The sequence below is a fragment of the Homo sapiens genome, chromosome 14 (genome assembly GCF_000001405.40).
Source record: "Homo sapiens chromosome 14, GRCh38.p14 Primary Assembly".
NCBI classification, from domain to species: domain Eukaryota; kingdom Metazoa; phylum Chordata; class Mammalia; order Primates; family Hominidae; genus Homo; species Homo sapiens.
In genome coordinates, this window is record NC_000014.9 from 73,012,608 (window position 1) to 73,036,003 (window position 23,396).

The following is a 23,396-nucleotide window of genomic DNA, read 5'->3' on the forward strand; positions in this document are numbered from 1 at the left end:
GGAGATTTCGTCTCAAAAAAAAAGAACTGTGGGATCCTTGAAAAGCCTCTACTCAGAAAAACAGAAAAGAGAGCTTCATTCCAGAGAATGAAGGCCTCTGCCATTCCTCCCTAGTGTCATTTAATCTGAGTTTTCACTTTAAATCATTTTTTCAGAGATATTACCGAAACTCAGAAAGCATGCAATTGACAATTCAATAAATATTTATGACTGCTGTAGAATGATACACATAAACTATATTGAACGCTTTGAAAGAAAAAATTATGAGAGATGACAGTTTAGCTGTGTAGATAACATATTCATGAGACAGAAGGGATTGAGCTAGAAAGTAGAGGAATTTCTAGGATACTCTTTGAATTCTGGATTGCTCAGGATCATGCTGCCCCTTCACTTGAACCTGAGGGTCTGTAACTTCATGCCAGAACCAGGCTCTGACAGTTCTTTTCAAGTATTCTAACATCTAGGGTCAAATTTCCTGGGGAAGACAGCAATAACCTAGTCTCAAGTAGAAGGAAATCAGGAAGGGACCGAAAATTCTAGAAGCTACCTGGAAGTCCAATTATCCTCCAGTGAAGTCAAGCCAGAGGTCAGCTACTTATGTATGGCTGGAAAACTTCTCTGCCCCAAGAACTCCAGCTATGACCAAGCTGACCATATAAACCAGTCAACAGAGGCTCTTCAATGCTAGCCAAAAGCCATTGAGAAGAGGGGCAAAATGGGCCAGGTGCAGTGGCTCACGCCTGTAATCCCAGCACTTTGGGAGGCCAAGGTGCACAAATCACCTGAGATCAAGAGTCCAAGACCAGCCTGGCCAACATGATGAAACCCCGTCTCCACTAAAAATGCAAAAATTAGCCGGGCATGGTGGCAGGTGCCTGTAATCCCAGCTACTTCGGAGGCTGAGGCAGGTGAATCGCTTGAACCCAGGTTGTAGTAAGCCGAGATTGCGCCACTGCACTCCAGCCTGGGTGACAAGAGCGAAACTCCATCTCAAAAAAAAAAAGAAAAAAACAAGAAAAGAAGGGGAAAATGAACAAAATATTCTCCAGGGAAGTATCCACCCTTCCCCACCTTCAAAAGCTCCTCTGCGTCTCTTTCCATACGTCTTTCCAACTCCCCTTGCCTGAAACTTCTTTACCCTTGTTTTTCTTCCCTTCTTCATGGTCTCCCCACATCTTTTCTCCGATTTCCCATCAAGCAAATGTGTTCGATACATTTAGCAGTTCTAACCTCAGATAGAAATGATCTCATGAGAGCTCCTCCCGAAGTAGGGAAGACTCCCCAGAAAAGTCTGACCAGCCATCAGAAGTGCATCTGCCTATATAATCTCCTGGATAAACTCAAGGGTGGTTCAGCCAGTAGATGCACCCACAGGAAAACACTGAAGGTCAAATTAATAAGAAATATGTCTATTATGTTAATCCTGGCTCAAAAAGCCAAATGCCTGCTCAATTCCAGAAAAATCAATCACTTCAAGGAATTGACAGGCCAGAAGAAAAAAGAGAATCATGCAAACTGAAGGTGTCTTAAAGTAGTTAAAGACAGGTTCTCTAGAAAGCTGACTCACAGTGGTTTCGATGGCTTACATGGGTCAAATTTGAAACATCCTTGTACTAAAACAAAATAGCGTACCAAGTTAAATGCCAGGAGTCTGTTGTAACTGAATGATCCCCAGGCTGAAAAAGCTCACAAGACACTGGGCAGAAACTGAAGGCACATAATAGGGTTTCTTTCATCTTTCTTTTGGTCTGAGTCATCCTCAACCCTGTGTTTCCCAGTAAACACCATATAATGCCTTCCCCTCTACCAATATCACTAAACAAAAGGGGCTTTTACTTGAGTTTCTTTGTGTTAAAGGCAATGATGGAGGAGGAGGCCCTACTACCAACCCAACTATTGGTTATTATTTTGACAGCTCCTACGAAGATCTATTTTTTTGTTATATTTATATGACACCTAAGAAACCAATAATAGATATATTCATATTCTGACCAGAACTTGCCAAAGGGCTAACCAGCTACTGCACCAAAATTAGTCCTTACATTATAATACTCTGGCCATTGGAAGAGAAAAATGGGAAAATTCAACAATTTGAAAGATTATGATCCCTCTGGCTCATGATCTACTGACCAGAATGAAGTCCTGAAGGATTTCCTTCTGTTATGTTATCTACCAGCTAATCTCAAACAAGAGGAGCTGGAAAGAACAAGCCCCATGAAGCTACCCTAGACCAGAAAGCCAAGAACAGGGCCAAGAAAATGAACAGCAGACAAGCCTGAAATAGAAGTGGCACAGACATGTGGCAGACCAGTACACCCAGTTTGTGGTAAAGAATTCCCATACAGGGCCGGGTGCAGTGGCTCATGCCTGTAATCCCAGCACTTTGGGAGGCTGAGGCAGATCACTTGAGGTCTGGAGTTTGAGACCAGCCTGGTCAACATGGTGAAACCCCGTCTCTACTAAAAATACAAAAATCAGTCAGGCATGGTGGCAGGCGCCTATAGTCCCAGCTACTCAGGAGGCTGAGGCAGGAGAATTGCACGAACCCGGGAAGCAGAGGTTGCAGTGAGTCAAGATGGTGCCACTGCACTCCAGCTGGGTGACAGAGTGAGACTCCATCTGAAGGAAGGAAGGAAGGAAGGAAGGAAGGAAGGAAGGAAGGAAGGAAGGAAGGAAGGAAGGAAGGAAAGAAGGGAGGGAGGGAGGGAGGGAAGGGGGAAGGAAAGGGGGGAAGGAAAGGGGAAGGAAGGGGGAAAGGAAGAGGGGAAGGAAGGGGGGAAGGAAGAGGGGAAGGAAGGGGGGGGAAGGAAGGGGAAGGAAGGAAGAAAGAAAGAAAGGAAGGGAGGGAGGAAATAGCAGAGGAAACCTCCACCCCCTGGGTTCATGCAATTCTCCTGCCTCAGCCTCCTGAGTAGCTGGGACTACAGGTGCCTGCCCAGCTGATTTCTGTATTTTTAGTAGACACGGGGTTTTGCCATGTTAGCCAGGCTGCTCTCGAATTCCTGACCTCAAGTGATCCGCCCGCCTCAGCCTCCCAAAGCGCTGGGATTACAGGCGTGAGCCACCACGCCCGGCCTGCTATTTTCCATTCCTGAACTCCACTAGAATAACATCTCTTTTAGTCAAGTCCCAGTATTCTGAGCAACACTATTCTGGGACTGTAAACAAGTGAGGCCGCCAAGCCACACGATGGGTCTTCTTAAAGAAGCAGTCTTGTTGGGCACGGTGGCTCACGCCTGTACCCAAGAGGTGGAGATTGCAGTGAGCTGAGATCGCGCCACTGCCCTCCAGCCTGGCAACAGAGCAAGACTCCATCTCAAAAATAAATAAATAAATAAAAAATAAAAACACAAGAACGAAGAAAAACAAATGCCTTTTACTGTTTCACCTTTCTTCTCCTGACAGGTTAACATTCTAATACAACAAGATGTCTGACTCCCATACAAGACCCAAGAGATGGGAAAATTCTATCCTCTTCCCCCACTAAGAACTCTAACTACCAGAAATCTTATTCTTCTGACCTTTAACTTATTTGCTAAGGTGTTGCCTCTGGCTTCAAGAGATTATAGATGACTCGTCAGCATGAATCATTTATTTATTATGACCTCTAAATAATGGATCTGGGCCGGGCACGGTGTTCACGCCTGTAATCCCATCACTTTGGGAGGCCAAGGCAGGCGGATCACAAGGTCAGGTGATCAAGACCATCCTGGATAACACGGTGAAACCCCGTCTCTACTAAAAGTACAAAAAATTAGCCAGGCGTGGTGGCGGGCGCCTATAGTCCCAGCTACTCAGGAGGCTGAGGCAAGAGAATGGCGTGAACCCAGGAGGTGGAGCTTGTAGTGAGCTTGAGATCGTGCCACTGCACTCCAGCCTGGGCAACAGTGCAAGATTCCGTCTCAAATAAATAAATAAATAAATAAAGGATCTGTAAGTCCTTTGGTTTTCCTAGTACAGTTCCACCGAGGCCTAGAAAAATCAATGAATACGGCCAGATGCAGTGGCTCATGCCTGTAATCCCAGCACTTTGGGAGGCCGAGGCTGGTGGATCACCTGAGGTCAGGAGTTCAAGATCAGCCTGCCCAAAATGGTGAAACCTCGTCTCTACTAAAAATTAGCCAGGTGTGGTGGCGGGCACCTGTAATCCCAGCTACTCAGGAGGCTGAGGCAGGAGAATCACTTGAACCCAGGAGTCAGAGGCTGCAGTGAACCAAGATTGTGCCACTGCACTCCAGCCTGAGCAACAAGAGCAAAACTCCAGTTCCCAAAGAAGAAAAAAAAAGATCAATGAATACAACTCAGAAAGTCTTACCATCTCACTAGAGAGGTTACAAAATATGTCAAAAGAGAATGCTGAGTTCACCAGCTAAATTACTTGAGGAGCAAACAGAACTAAAAGAAGGAGGGAAAAGGCCAGGTACAGTAATCCCAGCAGTTTGGGAGGCCACAGGAGGATCACATGAGCCCAGGAGGTGGAAACCAGCATGGCCATCATAGTAAGGCCCTGTCTCAAAAGAAAAAAAAAGATGAAGGAAAAACTGATGTTTGGTTCAATTTTTTTGTCCCTGATATATTTTCCACTTCACTAGTGTCCAGATGTCCTGTTAGACTAAACCTTCATCTGTCAGATCGATCACTTTCTTAGTGTCAGCACTACTGACCTTTTATACCACCAGATAACTCCTTCTGTCGGGGCTGCCCTATGTCCTGCCTGTGGTTTTAAGTAGCACCCTGGCCTCTATGCACTATCCAGCAGCATGCTCCCCCAAAAGCTCAGTTGTGACAACCAAAGATGTCTCCAATCATTGCCAATGTCCCTTGAGGGAGCAAAATCGCTCCTGATTGACAACCACTGTGTTAGATAATACAAATGGGACTAATTTATCTCTCTTTTTTGTACTAATCAGGTTCTTAAAGACTTAGTTTTATCAATTTCACACAATAAAACCTGGTGTCTTAAATAAGCAAGTGTTATTTGTACAAACCAAATGCCTACAAGTCACCACTGAGTTCTCCTACTCCCTCACTCCTCCATCCAACATATCAGCACTCCTACTTTACCTACAAACTTTGTCCAAAATTCATCAATGTCTCTCCATTTCCCCATCTCAGTAACACCAAATCTACACCACTTCTTTCCCCACCCTCTGCAACAGCCTCCTAAGTGGTCTCCCTGCCTTCCTTCTTGTCCCTCTACAGTCACTACCATCTAGTCTATACATCAGTCTCTATCAGGTCACTATAGCTTCTATCAGGTCCTGTGACTTCTTAGCATAAAGCAGTCTGGTGTCTCCCATCACCCTTAAAATAAAATCCACTTACTTCTACAGCCTGCACGGCCTCCCATGCATTGGCACCTGCTTCCCTCTGCACCTCTTCCCTTACCATTCTCTGCCAGCTCACTCCAGCCACACTGGCATTCTTTCTAGCCTCGAACATGCCATCCAACCTTCATTTTCTTCCCATTCCCTCTATCTGGAGGCCTACATAGCACATTAGTATTACCCATAAGGTCTCTGCTTAAAAATCACCTCTGCAAGCTGGGGGCAGTGGCTCATGCCTATAATCCCAGCACTTTGGGAGGCTGAGGTGGGCAGATCACCTGAGGTCTGGAGTCCAAGACTAGCCTGGCCAACATAGTAAAACCCCATCTCTACTAAAAATACAAAGATTAGTCGGGTGTGTTGATGGGTGCCTGTAATCCCACCTACTTGGGAGGCGGAGGAAGGAGAATCGCTTGAACCCGGGAGGCGGAGGTTGCAGTGAGGTGAGATTGCGCCACTGCGCTCCAGCCTAGGCGACAGAGCAAGACTCCATCTCAAAAAAAAAAAAAAAAAAAAAAAGGCACCTCTACAATAAGACCTTCTCTGACCATCCTGCCAAAGAGGCTTCCAAATCACTCTTCTTAATAATACTCACTACAGCTGAACCAACTATTTAGGTGTTTACATGTGTGAAATCTGCTTTCCCCACTTGAATAGTAAGCTCTATGAAGGAATGGACCATGTCTTATTAACCATGTATCCCCAGAACACAGAAAGTGCCTGGCACGGCTGGGCGCAGTGGCTCATGCCTGTAATCCCATCACTTTGGGAGGCCAAGGTGGGCAGATCATGAGGTCACGAGTTCAAGACCAGCGTGACCAACATGGGGAAACCCCATCTCTACTAAAAATACAAAAAAACTAGCCAGGCGTGGTGGCGCGCACCTGTAATCCCAGCTACTCAGGAGGCTGAGGCAGAACAATTGCTTGAACCCAGGAGGCGGAGGTTGTAGTGAGCCAAGATCGTGCCACTGAACTCCAGCCTGGGTGACAGAGACTCCATCTCAAAAAAAAAAAAAAAAAGTTCCTGGCACATAATATATGCGCCAAAAATGTGATGAATTAATGGATGTCTTTGGCTAGCAGGTCGAATGTGTCCATTTAGGAGCCACAGGTGACTTTCTACTTCTGAGACCAACAGTCAGTCTCTTCTCAAATTTACCACTATAGTACACACTCAAATGACAAGGTAATGATAAAATGTTCACCCTTAAAGGAAGCTTTTAGTCCTTTTACATTTTCTAAAAGAAACTGAGTAGTACTCAAATCATACACAAAAATCTTAGGAGACTCTAGGCCATAGAATTTGAGGAGACCACACACAAGGGTTACAGCCTACAGGTGCTAAAATAACCTCTATCTATGGGCCGGGCACAGTGGTGCATACCTGTAGTCTCAGCTACTTGGGAGGCTGTAAGTGGAAGGATTGCTTGAGCCCAGGAATTCAACGCCAGCCTGGGCAACACAGCAAGACCCCATCTAAAAAAAAAATCCCTATGTACTAAATTGAAAATGCTCAAAACCCACAAATGCCTAGAAACATGAAAAGAAAAACAAAATCAGAACCTAACTGATAGACACTTTACTGCTATTAGGAAGTTCATCAATAACACTTTGATAATGATAAATAATACATTTATACAGAGCTATGGTTCATCGGATTCTCACAGCAGCCATAAAGAATTGGTGAGCTGGTGCTTTTGGCCACAATGAAGTTTAATTATAAAGTTTAGGCCGAGGCCAGGCGCAGTGGCTCACGCCTGTAATCCCAGCACTTTGGGAGGCCAAGGCAGGTGGATCATGAGGTCAGGAGTTCGAGACCAGCCTGACCAACAAGGTGAAACCCCGTCTCTACTAAAAATACAAAAATTAGCCAGGCGTGGTGGTGGTGCCTACAATCACAGCTACTCGGGAGGCTGACGCAGGAGAATCACTTGAACCCAGGAGACGGAGGTTGCAGTGAGCCGAGATCACACCACGGCACTCCAGCCGGGGCAACAGAGTGAGACTCAGTCTCAAAAAAAAAGAAAAAGAAAATTTATGTCGGGCGCAGTGGCTCACATCTGTAATCCTAGCACTTTGGGAGGCCAAGGCGGGCAGGTCACGAGGTCAAGAGATCAAGACCATCCTGGTCAATATGGTGAAACTCCATCTCTACGAAAAATACAAAAATTAGCTGGGCATGGTGGCACACACCTGTAGTCCCATCTACTTGGGAAGCTAAGGCAGAAGGATTGCTCGAACCCAGGAGGCAGAGATTGCAGTGAGCCAAGATTGTGCCATCACACTCCAGCACCTGCTGGGTGACAGAGTGAGACTCCATCTCAAAAAAAAAAAAAAAAAGGAAAGGAAAGGAAAGGATAAGTATACATGAAAAAATTCTAGAAAGGCATGCAGTTCACTGTTTTTTGTTTGTTTCTTTGTTTCTTTGTTTTTTCAGACAGAGTCTCGCACTGTCACCCAGGCTGGAGTGCAATGGTGTGATCTCAGCTCACTGCAACCTCCACTTCCCGGGTTCATGCGATTCTCCTGCCTCAGCCTCCTGAGTAGCTGGGATTACAGGTGCACACCACCACACCAGGCTAATTTTTTGTATTTTTAGTAGAGATGGAGTTTCACCATGTTGGCCAGACTGGTCTCGAGCTCCTGACCTCGTGATCCACCTCCCTCAGCCTCCCAAAGTGATGTGATTACAGGCGTGAGCCATCGCGCCCGGTCGCAGTTCATTGTTAATGGTGACTGCTTTAAGAAAAAAGAGCAGGAGCCAGGCACGGCGGCTCAGCCTGTAATCCCAGCACTTTGGGAAGCCAGGGTAGGAGAATCAATTAGGTCAGGAGTTGGAGATCATCCTAGCCAACATGCAAAACCAGGTCCCTACTGAAAACACAAAAATTAGCAGGGCGTGGTGGCAGGTGCCTGTAATCCCAGGTACTGGGATTATAGGCGTGAGCCACCATGCCTAGCTACTTTTTTTATTTTCATTAGAGACAGGGTTTGACCATGTTGGCCCGGCTGCTCTAGAACTCCTGACCTCAGGTGATCTACCTGCCTGGGCCTCCCAAAGTGCTGGGATTACAGGTATGAGCCACCATGTCTGGCCTTGATATCCATTTTTTAAAAACTGAAGTTGGCTGGGCACAGTCACTCACGCCTGTAATCCCAGCATCTTGGGAGGCTGAGGCGGGCGGATAACTTGAGGTCAGGAGTTCAAGACCAGCCTGACCAACATAGAGAAACCCCATCTCTACTAAAACAAACACAAAAATTAGCCAGGCATGGTGGTGTGTGCCGGTAGTTCCAGCTACTCAGGAGGCTGAGGCAGGAGAATCGCTTGAACCTGGGAGACGGAGGTTGCAGTGAGGCAAGATTGTGCCACTGCACTCCAGCCTGGGGGACAGAGTGAGACTCTGTCTCAAAATAAAAATAAATAAATAAATAAATAAATAAATAAATAAATAACTGAAGTTGAGATGTGACAACACCAATCCGTAAGTATTTATGCACTGACAATGTGTTTACCACTGTACATGGCATAGGCCATGAAACATGGTCCTGCTCTCCAGTTCACAATCTAGCTGAATTTATAACCTAGATTTATGTCAATCATCTAATTGTTTTGAACATTCACTATCAGAAAACTGAACTAGATATTTTAAGTATTTCTCCATTTATGACTCTATGAGAACAAATCACCTAAAATCAATGAATTCTATGTCTAAACCATCAGTCCCAAAAATGCTGCTTGCAGTTAATAAACTGTTATTTCCTAGGACGTGGTTAATGTTTATGAATGGAGGAAATGTGGGAAGAATCTTTACAAACAATCCAATTATATACATATTACATTCAAGAAAAAAAAAGATGAAGGACCAATATCATCTCTGGGTAGTTAGATTTATCTTCTTCATTACACTTCTTTATATGCTCTTAATTCTCAACTAAGGAACACATATCAATGCTACAAAAAGAAAAAAAAATACACATTCTCCTCCCCAAAAAAACATTCTTTTTAAAGGTGCCAATGCAATCCATGAGGGTTACTAGTTCATCCCAAAGCTTCCCCTCATTTGACAAAAGTGGCAACAACCAAACTATGACTTTCCAAAAGCTGACATTACAGAGAACTGAGCAAAACCATCAAGAATCACCCAAAATCCAAGTGTTCCATTTATAAAAGATTCAGTCCACAATGTCGCCCAATTACAGCGTAATCCATAACAAAGACATTATCGCTGACAAGGGACATGGAATGGGATCTAGGTCACTCTTCCATAACTCTATTCGATCCTCTCAAACCAATAAAGAAAATCTGTGTTAGCAAAGTATTAACATGACAATGGAAGTATACAGGAATCATGATGTAACTCATTTCCATCAGCTTTATCCAAGAAGGAAAAAAGTACAGAAGAAAAATATTAGGTGGGTAATTAGGCAGCCTCTCAAATGGTAACTTACATAGGTACTCCCCTCCAAACTGGAAACCTAAGGAGTCACCACCATCAAAAGTACTGAGTCAGTGGACCACAGATACTCCAGTGATACTGACTACAACAAACTGGTACTGGATACTATGTGCCAGACTGTGATAAAAATCATTTAAGCTGTGCCTCAGTTTCACTGGTACTTCACAGGATTGTTGATAGGACTCAAAAAGATTAGGAATGGAAAGGATTTTTATCACTTACCCTTGGCTATATAGTGATTGGTAAACAAGTATGTGAATTCAAGCAAACTTCACTTGAAAGCCCACTCAAAAGAAAAGTATAGACATTACACTACCTTCATTCAAAAGTATAAACATTATACTACCCCTTCCCCAATCTCACCTAGCTGTCACAACACTACCATCTCCCCAACTCAGACTCAAGCCAAATATCCCCTAGTCATTCTGTACTCCCAGATGCCCCTCACTGGCTTTTACTGATCAGAAACCTATACAAGAAAATATGAAGAGACCAGCCAATCGCGCCTGTAATCCCAGCACTCTGGGAGGCCAAGGCGGGTGGATCACTTGAGGTCAGGAGTTCAAGATCAACCTGGCCAACATGGTGAACCCCCGTCTCTACTAAAAATTCTAAATTACCAGGCGTGATGGCACATGTCTGTAATCCCAGCTACTTGGGAGGCTGAGGCAGGAAAATCGCTTGAATCCAGGAAGTAGAGGTTGCAGTGAGCCAAGATGGCACCACTGCACTCCAGCCTGGGTGACAGAGCGAAATTCCATCTCAAAAAATATATATATATATATATATATATATATTTTATATATGTTTTATATATAATATATATTTTATATGTTTTATATGTAATATATATATTATATGTTTTATATATAATATATATTATATATGTTTTATATATAATATATATTATATATGTTTTATATATAATATATATTATATATGTTTTATATATAATATATATTATATATGTTTTATATATAATATATATATTTTATGTGTTTTATATATAATATATATTTTATGTTTTATATATATTATATATATATTTTATATATGTTTTATATATATAATATATATATGAAGAGACCATCTGGAAAGAATATTGTCCTTATTAAAAGCCACTTTTTAAATCAAGATAACAGGTTTATGCCTTATTAGCTAGCACTCCCATGGGACCCACTGTTAGTGTGTGTTTCCCTGGATAGGTGCAGTCCCGCATCACTAACATTTACTCACAGCTTGCCAGGGTGCTCTCATTCTGAAATGTTTTAAATCAGTTTGTTCTAATAATAATGCTACAATTAATACTAACAACAGCTACCGTATACACTGACCATTTATTATGCGACAGGCTCTACAAACACTGTCTCATTTCAACCTCACAACTCGATGAAGTAGGCTGTCCCCCATTTTATAGATGAAAAAGCTAAGGCTCAGAAAAGTAAAGTAATTCGGCCAGAGGTCATGCAGCTGGTAACTAAATCTGACTCCATGCAACTAAAGCCTCCAGAGGTCTTGCCTTTTAATGATTAAAATGTGATCTCTTCTTGGACATCGTTTTTTGAGAGCTGGCTTCCAACAACAGATCTGCTCCACTACACATGAATCCCACTATACCCGTGTGCTTACCTGAATTTCTTCATTTTCGTCTACTAGGAGGAAACTCACAACCTTCTCAGTCATCTTCTTCCTCTTGGTCTCCTCATCCATCTCTTCTGCCTCCAGTGACTCCTGGAGATTACTGACATTGTACACAGTAACAGGGTGTCTCCTTTTGTTACCCCCAGAATGAGTCCTCTTCTGGCACTCCAGGCACAAGTTAATTTTGCAGGTCTGGCACCTCACTATTGCCCTCTGCCTAACACCTGGTAAATGCCCACTGAGACCCTTGCAGAGGTCACAGTAAGGGACATGGCCAGGTTTGAGTCTTATCCGCTCATGGTTTCTCAGGCGCTCCTGCCGATGGAGCTCCTCCTCGCAGCGGAGACACTGCAGACTGCAGCACTCATCACACTCAAAGATAGCTTCATCAGTCCCGCTGCAAGCGTAACTTTCCTGGCACATCAGCCCCGGATTCAGGCCCTTCTCTGCTGGGGAAGTCTGGGCACTCATACTCACGCTGGTAAGGAAACACACCCACCATATAATAGTCACTGAGCTTGCCCCGGGGGTGAAGACGAAGATTTGAGTCTGAAGACTGCACGAAACTTCCACAGGGTTCTGAACACTTTAAAAAAGAACACCTTTCATGTCCTGTTATAGTTCTTCACAAACAAATGTTCAAATTTTTAATTTGCTGCCTCTAAGACTCTTGTATTAGCAGCAACGTTGATTTGGTTTGATGGTTTCATCCTCCATAAAGTGCAAGCAAAGATGTGGTCAAAATTGACTTGGAAGGGTCTTTTATGGCTATCTGAGAGAGGTCTGATGGGTTCACGGTGGTGGGTTCATCGGTTGGACATCAGCTACAAAGTTTTGGTAATGAAAGAAAGTGGTCAGGAGCTTTTCAATATAATTCGACCTGAAGTCAGTATTTCAGGGGATACCTAGAATAGAGGAAGGAAAAGGATTTCACTCATCTAAAAAACAGAAGTGCACCTTTAAAAAAATTTTTTTTGACTAAATTAAATATTAGCCCAGAACTGCTGAGAGAAATCTCATTCCTCTTTTTTTTCTTTTTTTTTTTTTTGAGACAGAGTTTTGCTCTTGCTGCCCAAGCTGGAGTGCAATGGGACAGTCTCGGCTCACTGCAACCTCCGCCTCCCGGGTTCAAGCGATTCTCCTGCCTCAGCCTCCCAAGGAGCTGGGATTACACGCGCTAGCCACAATGCCCAGCTAATTTTTGTATTTTTAGTAGAGACGGGGTTTCACCATGTTGGCCAGGCTGGTCTTGAACTCTTGACCCCAGGTGATCTGCCCGCCTTGGCCTCCCAAAGTGCTGGGATTACAGGCGTGAGTCACCGCACCTGGCCAGAAATCTCATTTTCTATCTTAACACTTACACTGGCTTGTTGTATAGCCAGGCGCAGTGGCTCACACCTGTAATTCCATCACTTTGGGAGGCCGAGGTGGGCAGATCACTTGAGGTCAGGAGTTCGAGACTACCCTGTCCAACATGGTGAAATCCCATCTCTACTAAAAATACAAATATTAGCTGGGCATGGTGGCAGGCACGTGTAATCCAAGCTACTAGGGAGGCTGAGGCAGGAGAATCACTTGAACCCAGGAGGCGGAGGTTGCAGTGAGCCAAGATCTTGCCACTGCACTCCAGCCTGGAAGACAGGGCAAGACTCCCTCAAAAAAAAAAAAAAAAAAAAAAATCTCAAAATTGTGGCTAAAGCTCCTCCTCTTGACAACAAACGCCACCTCTAGGCCCAAGGCATTTAAGAGACTTTGCTGCTCTATTTCCCAGACTGGAATTTTCTGTTCATTCAGATATTAAATTCAGAATCTAAATCACTAAGTGAGTAGTCCTTGGAAGGACAGCCCTCTGCACCCCCACATGCATCCCACAATTGGGAGGAGTGGAGAGGCCTTCACAAAGCTAATGAAAATGTAATAATAAACTTTAGATCTATCAAATACCTGGGCCGACCTGGTTAGCCTTGTAACTGGATTGTTTCAACTCTAGCTAGATGTATATTAAAGACTCAAAACTTAGAAACAATAGTAACAATTTCATCTTTAAAAACAATTTTTTTACACTGTAATTCTTCTGTCCCTTCTTTCACTAACTGAAAAAAAAAAAAAAAAGGAGCAACAGGAGACAATTCCTCTACTTTGACCCATGGCAAAGCCAGGCCTGCAGTGAATCAAAACAAATAATTTTTCTCTTTGTCACTTAAAAACTAACTTAAAAATAACTTCAAAATACGAAAAAAGATAACTGGGGCAAGAAAGGGGCTTTTGTCACTTTGACAATTATATTCCTAATTCCCCCTAGCCTTGACCCGCATTCCAAGGCCCCGACAAGGTGTAAAGCCCTGCCTTTCTGATAGTCACTCCTCCCCTACAGTAATCAATCTATCAACCTTATTTTCAGATAAACAAGGAAGGCGAAGGGAGTGACTAGGGGATCTTATTTACTACAATCTAACCTCAGACATGCCCAGCCAGCTCCCAAAACAGAAACAAAAATCAAACTTGTCACAATTGAGAAAAATATAAAATCAACCTTCAAAAGTACACCTCACGCCCGGCCATGTCAACCAAACATTTTGCCCACTCGGGCCCCCACCTCGACACCTCTCCCCAGCCGGGGGTTCCTCACCCTTCCTTCCACCCGGACACCACCGCCACAACCCGAGGGGCAGGAGCGGAGCCTAAGAACAAAGAAGGTCCCCCAAAATCCCCCCCACGCCGGCAAAACCCGGAGCCGAATCCATTGTTTATACCACCCCACCCCCACCCCCGCCGCACCCGCCCCCCCTTCCTCCCGAGGGCAGCCTGAGCCCCAGGACGATCACTCGCCCCGCGCTGGGCCGTGCCCTCCCCGCCCTGCCCTGCCCGCCGCGGCCCGGGGATCCCACCACTGAGAAGCTCGGCCGCAGCAAGGCGGCGTCGGGGGGCCGCAGGGCGCCAGTGGGGGCAGAGGCTATTCCTCAGGACACCGGCAGATCCATCCTCATCTCCATCTCCGCCACCCTCCTCCTTCGTTGCCTCCCGGGCTTCCTCCTCTCCTGTTGTCAGTTGGGATCAGCTGATCGGAGTGAACTTCTCCCAGCTCGGACTAACAGGAAGGCGTGAGCGGTGCAGCCCAGAAAGGGAGGAGCGAGAGAGGGAGGATCCCGGCGCCAGCAAGGGCGTAGTGCGCACTGCCTCCTGGGAGATGTAGCTCCTCGAGGCGCGCTCTCGCCCCTCATCCCGGAAAGGAAGACTCTGAATGACTACAACTCCCAGTACTGAAGAGGCTGCTCTTGCGAGGAGGCGGTGGGGACAGGCTACGGAGGATTTCGGGACTTGGAGTTTTTGCATTGAGTGTGGTGTCCGCAGGTTTCAGCACGTTCTTTTGGGTTGTAACTGGGGAAGGCATGGTGCTACATTAGAGAACTGATGTAATAATGTCTAGTATAAGTGGGAAATGGTGAGTCAATTAATTTGGATTCAAGTAACCTCTTGCACACCATTCCCTCAGAAACGTGTGAGCACAGACAGTCTCCACCTTCCCAATTTCACTTCGCAAAAACTAAGGAAAAGACCAGAAAAAGTGATAAGAGGATATAGGTACTCTTGGGAAGTTTTTGTTGTTTTTCCCCCCTTGGCAAAGGACAAAATTACAACGAATTTAGTTTTAAGATCTCAGTTGGCTTTATTGCGACTCTAGGATCAGGCAACACTTCATTCCAGAAAGTGGAGTGAATGTTCTGATGAGCTGAGCAGGAGAGGTTGGCTTTGTAGACAGAGAAAAGCTTGAGGAAGCAAAAGCAAAGAACAAAGAGCATATTGGTTTCTTTCTTTCTCTTTCTTGTCATTCTTTTCTTTCCTCTTTCTTCTCTTTTTTTCAGTCTTCTCATGGGACCTTGACATATTGGTCACTTCTAAGCTACTTTCCTTGGAAGGTGAGGACAGAGAGACAGAACAATAGAAAAATAACTGATTAGTTGACATCAGTTACTTCAGGCTACTTCTTTTGTGTAAGGATTACAACAGAGGGAGCTTCATTATCATGCAACATTAAAACAAGCCTGTTTGGGAAACTGGCTGTCCTTATCCCTCTTTCCTGATTTCTCTGAAGGTCAGATAACAACTTAGCTTGGGTTTGGTAACAACTTAGTTTGGATTTGGTGAGGTGAAACTTTAGCATGGGTGACTCCATTTTTATTTTAGCCAGGTCTATTGGGGCCTGGTGCAGGAGTTTAGTCCAAAACAAAGGCCTCCTATCATTTTTACTTAACACCCTTCAAGGGTATTCTCCAAGCCAACCATGAATTTTTTTTCCTACCTATTATTTTTCTGATCTTTCCTTCTATAGTTTCAGAACTTCTCAGGCTGGGCGCGGTAGCGCATGCCTGTAATCCCAGCACTTTGGGAGGTCGAGGTGGACGGATCACCTGAGGTCGGGCGTTCGAGACCAGCCTGACCAACATGGAGAAACTCCATCTCTACTAACAGATACAAAATTAGCCGGGCGTGATGATGCATGCCTGTAATCCCAGCTACTCGGTAGGCTGAGGCAGGAGAATTGCTTGAACCTGGGAGGCAGAGGTTGCAGTAAGCCGAGATCACGCCATGGCACTCCAGCCTGGGCAACAAGAGGGAAACTCTGTCTCAAAAAAAAAAAAAAAAAAAAGCTATTATACTTTCAGAACTTCTCAATTTGAAATTATCTTTGAGGGCCAGGCACGGTGGCTCATGCCTGTAATCCCAGCACTTTGGGAGGCCAAGGAGAGCGGATCATGAGCTCAGGAGTTCAAGACCAGCATGGCCAACATAGTGAAACCTCATCTCTACTAAAAATACAAAACATTAGCTGGGTGTGGTGGTGTGCACCTGTAATCCCAGCTACTCGGGAGGCTGAGGCAGGAGAATCACATGAACCCGGGAGGCAGAGGTTGCAGTGAGCCAAGATCGCACCATTGCACTCCAGCCTGGGCAACAGTGCAAGACTCTGTCTCAAACAAGAAAAAAAAAAAAAGAAAGAAATTTTCTTTGCGTTAGATGGGCTAAATTTTCAGATAAGTTTTCAGGCTACAGTGCAGGCTAATGGTTAACATTTATCAGGCTTTTTTTTCTTTTTTTATGGCCTTATATTTGTTTAGTGCTTTCACTTTTTGTTTGTTTCTTGAAACAACATTGAAAGAAAGCCTGAGTCTGTGTTGCCAAAGATTGACTGCTTGCTCTAGAAAAGCTCCTGAAGGCCTGGTGTGGTTGTTCCTGTGTGTAATCTCAACACTTTGGGAGGCCAAGGCACGCAGAGCACTTGAGGTCCTGGCCAACATGGTGAAACCATGACTATACTAAAAATACAAAAAATTAGCTGGGAATGGTGGCATGTGCCTGTAATCCCAGCTACTCTGGAGGCTGAGGCAGGAAAATCACTTGAACCCCAGAGGCAGAGGTTCCAGTGAGCCAAGATTGTGCCACTGCACTCCAGCCTGGGCAATGGAGCAAAACTCCATCTCAAAAAAAAAAAAAAAAAAAAAAGAGGCTGGGCGCAGTGGCTCACGCCTGTAATCCTAACACTTTGGGAGGCTGAGGCGGGTGGATTGCCTGAGCTCAGGAGTTCAAGACCAGCCTGGGCAACATGGTAAAAACCCATCTCTACTAAAACACACACACACACAAAAAATTAGCCAGGCATGGCGGCGTGCACCTGTAATCCCAGCAACTAGAGGGACTGAGACAAGAGAATCACTTGAACCCGGGGGTTGGAGGTTGCAGTGAGCCGAGATCGTGCCATTGCACTCCAGCCTGGGTGACAGAGTGAGAGACTCCATCTCAAAAAAAAAAAAAAGAAAGAAAGAAAGAAAACGTCCTGACTATACAGGTGGTTGGGTAAGTCACTCAACCTCTCCACAAAATAGAAATTGTAATTAATGAAGTCCCTGCCAATTCCAACATACTATGATTCTATCTTGATAATTGTTAACCCAGAAGAGAAAACTAAGATTAAGTGACTTGCCAGGGTTACACAACAAATTATTGACAAATCTGGGACAAGACTGTATCTGCTGACTTGAAGTCCAATACTTTTTACCTTATGATTCCAGGGACATAAGTAAACCACTAGCAAAATCAAATCTACATAATAATGACCCATATATGAGGATTAAATTGCTGAAAATTATATTTTCAATATTGGGCAGAGAGCCAATGGTTGGATTATGAAACATGGCTGAGAAATTGTTTTCTAAAAACAACTTCTAGGGCCGGGCGCAGTGGCTCATGCCCGTAATCCCAGCACTTTGGGAGGCCGAGGCAGGTGGATCACGAGGTCAAGAGTTCAAGACCAGCCTGGCCAAGATGGCAAAACCCTGGCTCTACTAAAAATACAAAAATTAGCCGGGCCTGGTGGCGGGCGCCTGTAATCCCAGCTACTCAGGAGGCTGAGACAGGGAATTGCTTGAACCCAGAAGGCAGAGGTTGCAGTGAGCCAAGATCGCACCACTGCCCTACAGCCTGGGTGACAGAGTGAGACTCCGTCTCAAAAAAAAAGAATAAACATTAAAAAATTTCTGGGCCGGGCACAGTGGCTCACGCCTGTAATCCCAGAACTTTGGGAGGCCGAGGCGGGCAGATCACAACGTCAGGAGTTTGAAACCAGCCTGGCCAATATGGTGAAACCCCATCTCTACTAAAAATACAAAAAGTCAGCCGAGTGTGTTGGCATGCGCCTGTAATCCCAGCTACTCAGGAGGCTGAGGCAGGAAAATTGCTTGAACCCAGGAGGCAGAGGTTGCAGTGAGCTGAGATGGTGCCATTGGACTTCAGATAGGACTACCCCTATAGTAACTTGGAGCCATAATAGTTTCCTTGGCTGGGCACAGTGGCTCACACCAGTAATCCCAGCAATTTGGGAGGCCAAGGTGGTCAAATAACTTGAGGTCAGGAGTTCAAGACCAGCATGGCCAACATGGCAAAATCCAGTCTCTACTAAAAATACAAAAGTTAGCCAGGTGTGGTGGCACCTGCTTGTAATGCCAGCTACTCGGGAGGGTGAGGTATAAGAATCACTTAAGCCTGGGAGGCAGAAGTTGCAGTAAGCCGAGATCGCACCATTGCACTCCAGTCTGGGTGACAGAGGGAAACTCTGTCTAAAAAAAAAAAAGTTTCCTTTAGCCAGGCACGGTGGTGGTGCATGTCTGTAATCCCAGCCACTCTGGAGACTGAGACCTGAGGATCCTTTGAGCCCAGGAGTTCCAGAAGAGCATGGGCAATATAGTGAGAACCCTCCCCCACATCTCTTTTCCGTCTTCCTAAAAATAAAGAAAATAAAATGATGGGAAAAACAGCAAACACAACCCTGCCTTCTGGATGTAAATATTTTTTTTTTTTGAGACAGAGTCTCACTCCGTTGCCCAGGCTGGAGTGCAGAGGCATGATCTTGGCTCACTGCAACCTCTGCCTCCCAGGTTCAAGCAATTCTCCTGCCTCAGCCTCGCAAATAGCTGGGACTACAGGCATGCGCCACTACATCTGGGATGTAAATCTATTTGGAATGTGTAACACATGACCATAGGGACGTGGTGTTTGTATAGATAGAACCTTTGGGTCTGGTGTGGTGGCAGGTGCCTATAACCCCAACTACTGGAGAGGCTGATGTGGGAGGATCACTGGAGCCCAGGGGTTCAAGACCAACCTGGGCAAGATAGACCCCTATCTAAAAAAATAAAAATAAAAATAAAAACCTCACTTGCAGCCAGGTGCAGTGGCTCACGCCTGTAATCTCAACACTTTGGGAGGCCAAGGCAGGTGGATCACCTGAGGTCAGGAGTTCGAGACCAGCCTGACCAACATGGTGAAACCCCATCTCTACTAAAAATACAAAAAATTAGCCAGGTGTGGTGGCAGCCACCAGTAATCTCAGCTACTTGGGAGGCTGAGGTAGGAGAATCGCTTGAACCTGGGAGGCGGAGGTTGCAGTGAGCCAAGATTGTGCCATTGCACTCCAGCATGGGCAACAAGAGTGAAACTCTGTATCAAAAAAAAAAGTGTATATATATATATATATATATATATATATATGTGTGTGTGTGTGTGTGTGTATATATATATGTGTGTATATATATATGTGTGTATATATATATGTATATGTGTATATGTGTATATATGTATATATGTGTATATATGTGTGTGTATATATGTGTATATGTGTATATATATATGTATATGTTTATACACACACACACACACACACACACACACACACACACACACATATATCTCCTGGGAACAAAATGGTGTTTAATAAACTATTTTATTTATTTATTTTTATTTATTTATTTTTTTTTTGAGACAGAGGCTCACTCTGTTGCCAGGCTGGAGTGCAGTGGTGCGACCTTGGCTCACTGCAACCTCTGCCTCTAGGGTTCAAGCAATTTTCCTGCCTCAGCCTCCTGAGTAGCTGGGACTAGAGGCGAGTGCCACCACACCCAGCTAATTTTTGTATTTTTTGTAGAGACGGGGTTTCACCATGTTCGCCAAGATGGTCTCGATCTCTTGACCTCATGATCCTCCCACCTTGGTCTCCCAAAGTGCTGGGATTACAGGCATGAGCCACCATGCCTGGCCTTTATTTATATTTTATTTATTTTTTTGAGACAGAGTCTCGCTCTGTCACCCAGGCTGGAGTGCAGTGGCGCGATCTCGGCTCACTGCAACCTTCACCTCCTGGGTTCAAGTAATTCTCCTGCCTCAGCCTCCAGAGTAGCTGGGATTACAGGCGAGCACCACCACACCCAGCTAATTTTTGTATTTTTAGTAGAGCTGGGGTTTCACCATATTGGTCAGGCTGGCCTCGAACTCCTAACCTCAGGTGATCCACCCGCCTCGGCCTCCCAAAGTGCTGGGATTACAGGCATGAACCACCATGCCTGGCCTACTTTTATTCTTTTACCAGATCGTTGAAATTAGCAGATCTGTTTCTCATGTCAGTTTTCTTTACTCATTCTCATTCTTTGCACACTAAGTTATTTTTTACCATGAGCCACATTTTCCTTGGAAAATATTTGTGGGAATTCTTGGAGGCCTAGGATAAAGGTTTATTCCTCCAGAGAGGATTTGCTTTTGCTTCTGCAAAGAAGGACACTTGAAACAATTCACCATTTGAGGTTTGTATTTTTGACCACCAGGAGATGTATATTTGGGCTACATATCCCTGGGAGGGCTAGCTTATGGGTCTAGTGCCACCCACACACACCTCCACAAACTCTCTCTTCCAAGACATCTTTCTTTTCACTCTGTTGGGGAAAGATATAATTACTTCCCATTTTCCCTCACTGAAACTGTAGACTGAGTTCCTAGATTTAGATTTCCCTCTTCCCCCAGGTCCTGGGCTTTGTCTTCTGTCCCACTTGCCTCAGGATGTCTAGAAAAATCAAGCTTTGGTCAGGGGCAGTGGCTCATGCCTGTAATCCCACCACTTTGGGAGGCCAAGGCAGGTGGAGCAATTGAGGCCAGGAGTTCGAGACCAGCTGGGCCAACATAGTGAAACCCTGTTTCTACTAAAAATACAAAAATTAGCCAAGCTTTGTGGCTATTTACACACACCTGTAATCCCAGCTACTCTGGAGGCTGAGGCATGAGAATCGCTTGAATCTGGGAGACGGAGGTTGCAATGAGCTGAGATCATACACTCCAGCCTGGGCGACAGAGCAAGACTCTGTCTCTGAAAATATATATATATCTGAAAAGGAATTTGGAGGAAAAAGGCTTTTATTCTAGTGAACAGTTAGCAAACTATAGAAATGCGGCCTTCCGTGTAAAACGAAGTTAAGCTCCAAAAACTAAAGAGACAGTTCAGTATTTTATTATTTTATTTTTATTTTTATTTTTTGAGATGGAGTGTTGCTCTGTCACCAAGGCTGGAGTGCAGTGGTGGGATCTTGGCTCACTGCAACCTCCACCGCCCAGTTCAAGCAGTTCTCTTGCCTCAGCCTCCCGAGTATCTGGGACTACAGGTGCACACCACCAGGTCCTGCTAATTTTTGTATTTTTAGTAGAGACGAGTTTCACCATGTTGGTCAGGCTGGTCTCGAACTCCTGACCTCAGATGATCTGCCCCCCCACCCCTTGGCCTCCCAAAGTGCTGGGATTACAGATGTGAGCCATCCGCGTCCAGCTGGACAGTTCGGCTTTTATAGCACAAGTTCCTGCCCAAGTTCCAATCAGGTCCATTTATGCAAATGAAGGCGTCAAACTAGCTTAGTTCTGATTGGTCAATATAGCTCAGTTCTGATTGGCCTCTTCAGCCCAGATTGAGTTCTGATTGGTTGGTTCAGGTGAATGGTTTTTTTGGTTGTGTTTTGTTTGTTTGTTTGTTTGTTTTTGAGACAGGATCTCTCTCACTCTGTAGCACAGGCTGGAGTTCCATGGTGCAATCTCCCCTCACAGCAACCTCCACCTCCCAGATTCAAGTGATTCTTCTCCCTCAGCCTCCCAAGTAGCTGAAATTGCAGACATGTGCCACCACGCCCGGCTAATTTTTGTACTTTCAATAGAGGCAGGGTTTCACCCTGTTGGCCAGGCTGGTCTTGAACTCCTGACCTTAAGTGATCTGCCCGCCTAGGCCTCCCAAAGTGCTGGGATTACACACGCGCCCCACTACGCCCGGCCAGCTCAGGTGAGTTCTGAAAGTACCAAGGTTTTAAAAAACGCTGGTTTTGGGCTGGGCGCAGTGGCTCACACCTGTAATCCCAGCACTTAGGGAGGCTGAGACGGGCAGATTACTGAAACTCGGGAGTTCGAAACCAGCCTGGCCAACAGGGTGAAACCCGGTCTCTACCGAAAATACAAAATTAGCCAGGCTTGGTGGCGGGTACCTGTAATCCCAGCTACTCCAGTGGCTGAGACAGGAGAATCACTTGAACCTGGGAGGAAGAGGTTGCAGTGAGCAGAGATCACGCCACTGCACTCCAGCCTGGGCGACAGAGCAAGACTCCGTCTCAAAAAATAAATAAATAAATAAACACTGGTTTTTAGATAACTCAGAGTGTGGGCCGGGTGCGGTGGCTCACGCCTGTAATCCCAGCACTTTGGGAGGCCATGGTGGGCAGATCACCTGAGGTCGGGAGTTCAAGACCAGCCTGACCAACATGGAAAACCCCATTTCTACTAAAAATACAAAATTAGCTGGGCTTGGTGGCGCATGTCTGTAATCCCAGCTACTCGGGAGGCTGAGGCAGGAGAATCGCTTGAACCCGGGAGGTGAAGGTCGCGGTGAGCCAAGATCGCGCCATTGCACTCCAGCCTTGGACAAGAGCGAAACTCTGTCTCAGAAAAAAAAAAGAGAGAGAGAGAGAGAGAGAGAGAAGAACTCTGTGTGTGTGACATCTAGTCATCAGCAAATGGCTGCTTGGCTCTATTTTAAATTTAGGCACAATCAGCCACCCAGGATCCATCTTTAATGATTGGCTCTTTCAGGTTCACATTTGTTCACACAGTTTACAGTCGTGGTGGCTCACACCTGTAATCCCAGCAATTTGGGAGCTGAGATGGTAGGATCGCTTGAAGCCGGGAGCAATCCTATATGTTGCTAAAATAACTTTCCTTTTTCTAGACTTAAATGGCTGACCGACTCTATTTCTGGTTGATTTGTTTCTCTTTCAATATGATAATATAGGCCGCAAGGTGGCTCACGCCTATAATCCTAGCACTTTGGAAAGGTGAGGCAGGAGGATCACTTGAGGTCAGGGGTTCGAGACCAGCGTGGCCAATATGGTGAAACCCCGTCTCTACTAAAAATACAAAAAATTAGCCTGGAGTGGTGGCGTATGCCTATAGTACCAGCTACTTGGGAGGCTGAGGTAGGAGAATTGCTTGAACCCAGAAGGCGGAGGTTGCAGTGAGCCGAGATCGCGCCACTGCACTCCAGCCTGGGTGACAGAGCAAGACCCTGTTTCAATAAATAAGTAAATAAGTATGGCCGGGCACGGTGGCTCAGGCCTGTA

At 45.2% G+C, this 23,396-nt stretch overlaps 1 protein-coding gene across 4 annotated transcripts in view, besides 2 other annotated features; it reads right to left on the reverse strand.

The window, feature by feature from the left end:
• ZFYVE1 (zinc finger FYVE-type containing 1) overlaps positions 1-14,499 on the reverse strand; it is a 57,662-nt gene extending 43,163 nt beyond the window's left edge. For 3 of the 4 annotated variants that reach the window (NM_001281734.2, NM_021260.4, XM_047431481.1), the window contains exons 1-2: positions 14,319-14,499; positions 11,419-12,335 (exon numbers count right to left, since the gene is read on the reverse strand). In NM_001281734.2, the coding sequence (NP_001268663.1) occupies positions 11,419-11,901 (483 nt within the window). In that variant the 5' untranslated portion in view covers positions 11,902-12,335; positions 14,319-14,499. Of the gene's footprint in view, positions 1-335; positions 341-5,452; positions 5,460-11,418; positions 12,336-14,318 lie in introns of those variants that run through there. The other variant, XM_047431482.1, reaches the window with a different exon arrangement.
• Positions 14,202-14,411: a silencer, noted in NCBI's record as "silent region_5903". NCBI's record gives its function as "represses an Ori minimal core promoter by ATAC-STARR-seq in GM12878 lymphoblastoid cells {active_cell/tissue: GM12878}" and the evidence as "EXISTENCE:reporter gene assay evidence [ECO:0000049][PMID:35858748]".
• Positions 14,642-14,841: an enhancer, noted in NCBI's record as "active region_8692". NCBI's record gives its function as "activates an Ori minimal core promoter by ATAC-STARR-seq in GM12878 lymphoblastoid cells {active_cell/tissue: GM12878}" and the evidence as "EXISTENCE:reporter gene assay evidence [ECO:0000049][PMID:35858748]".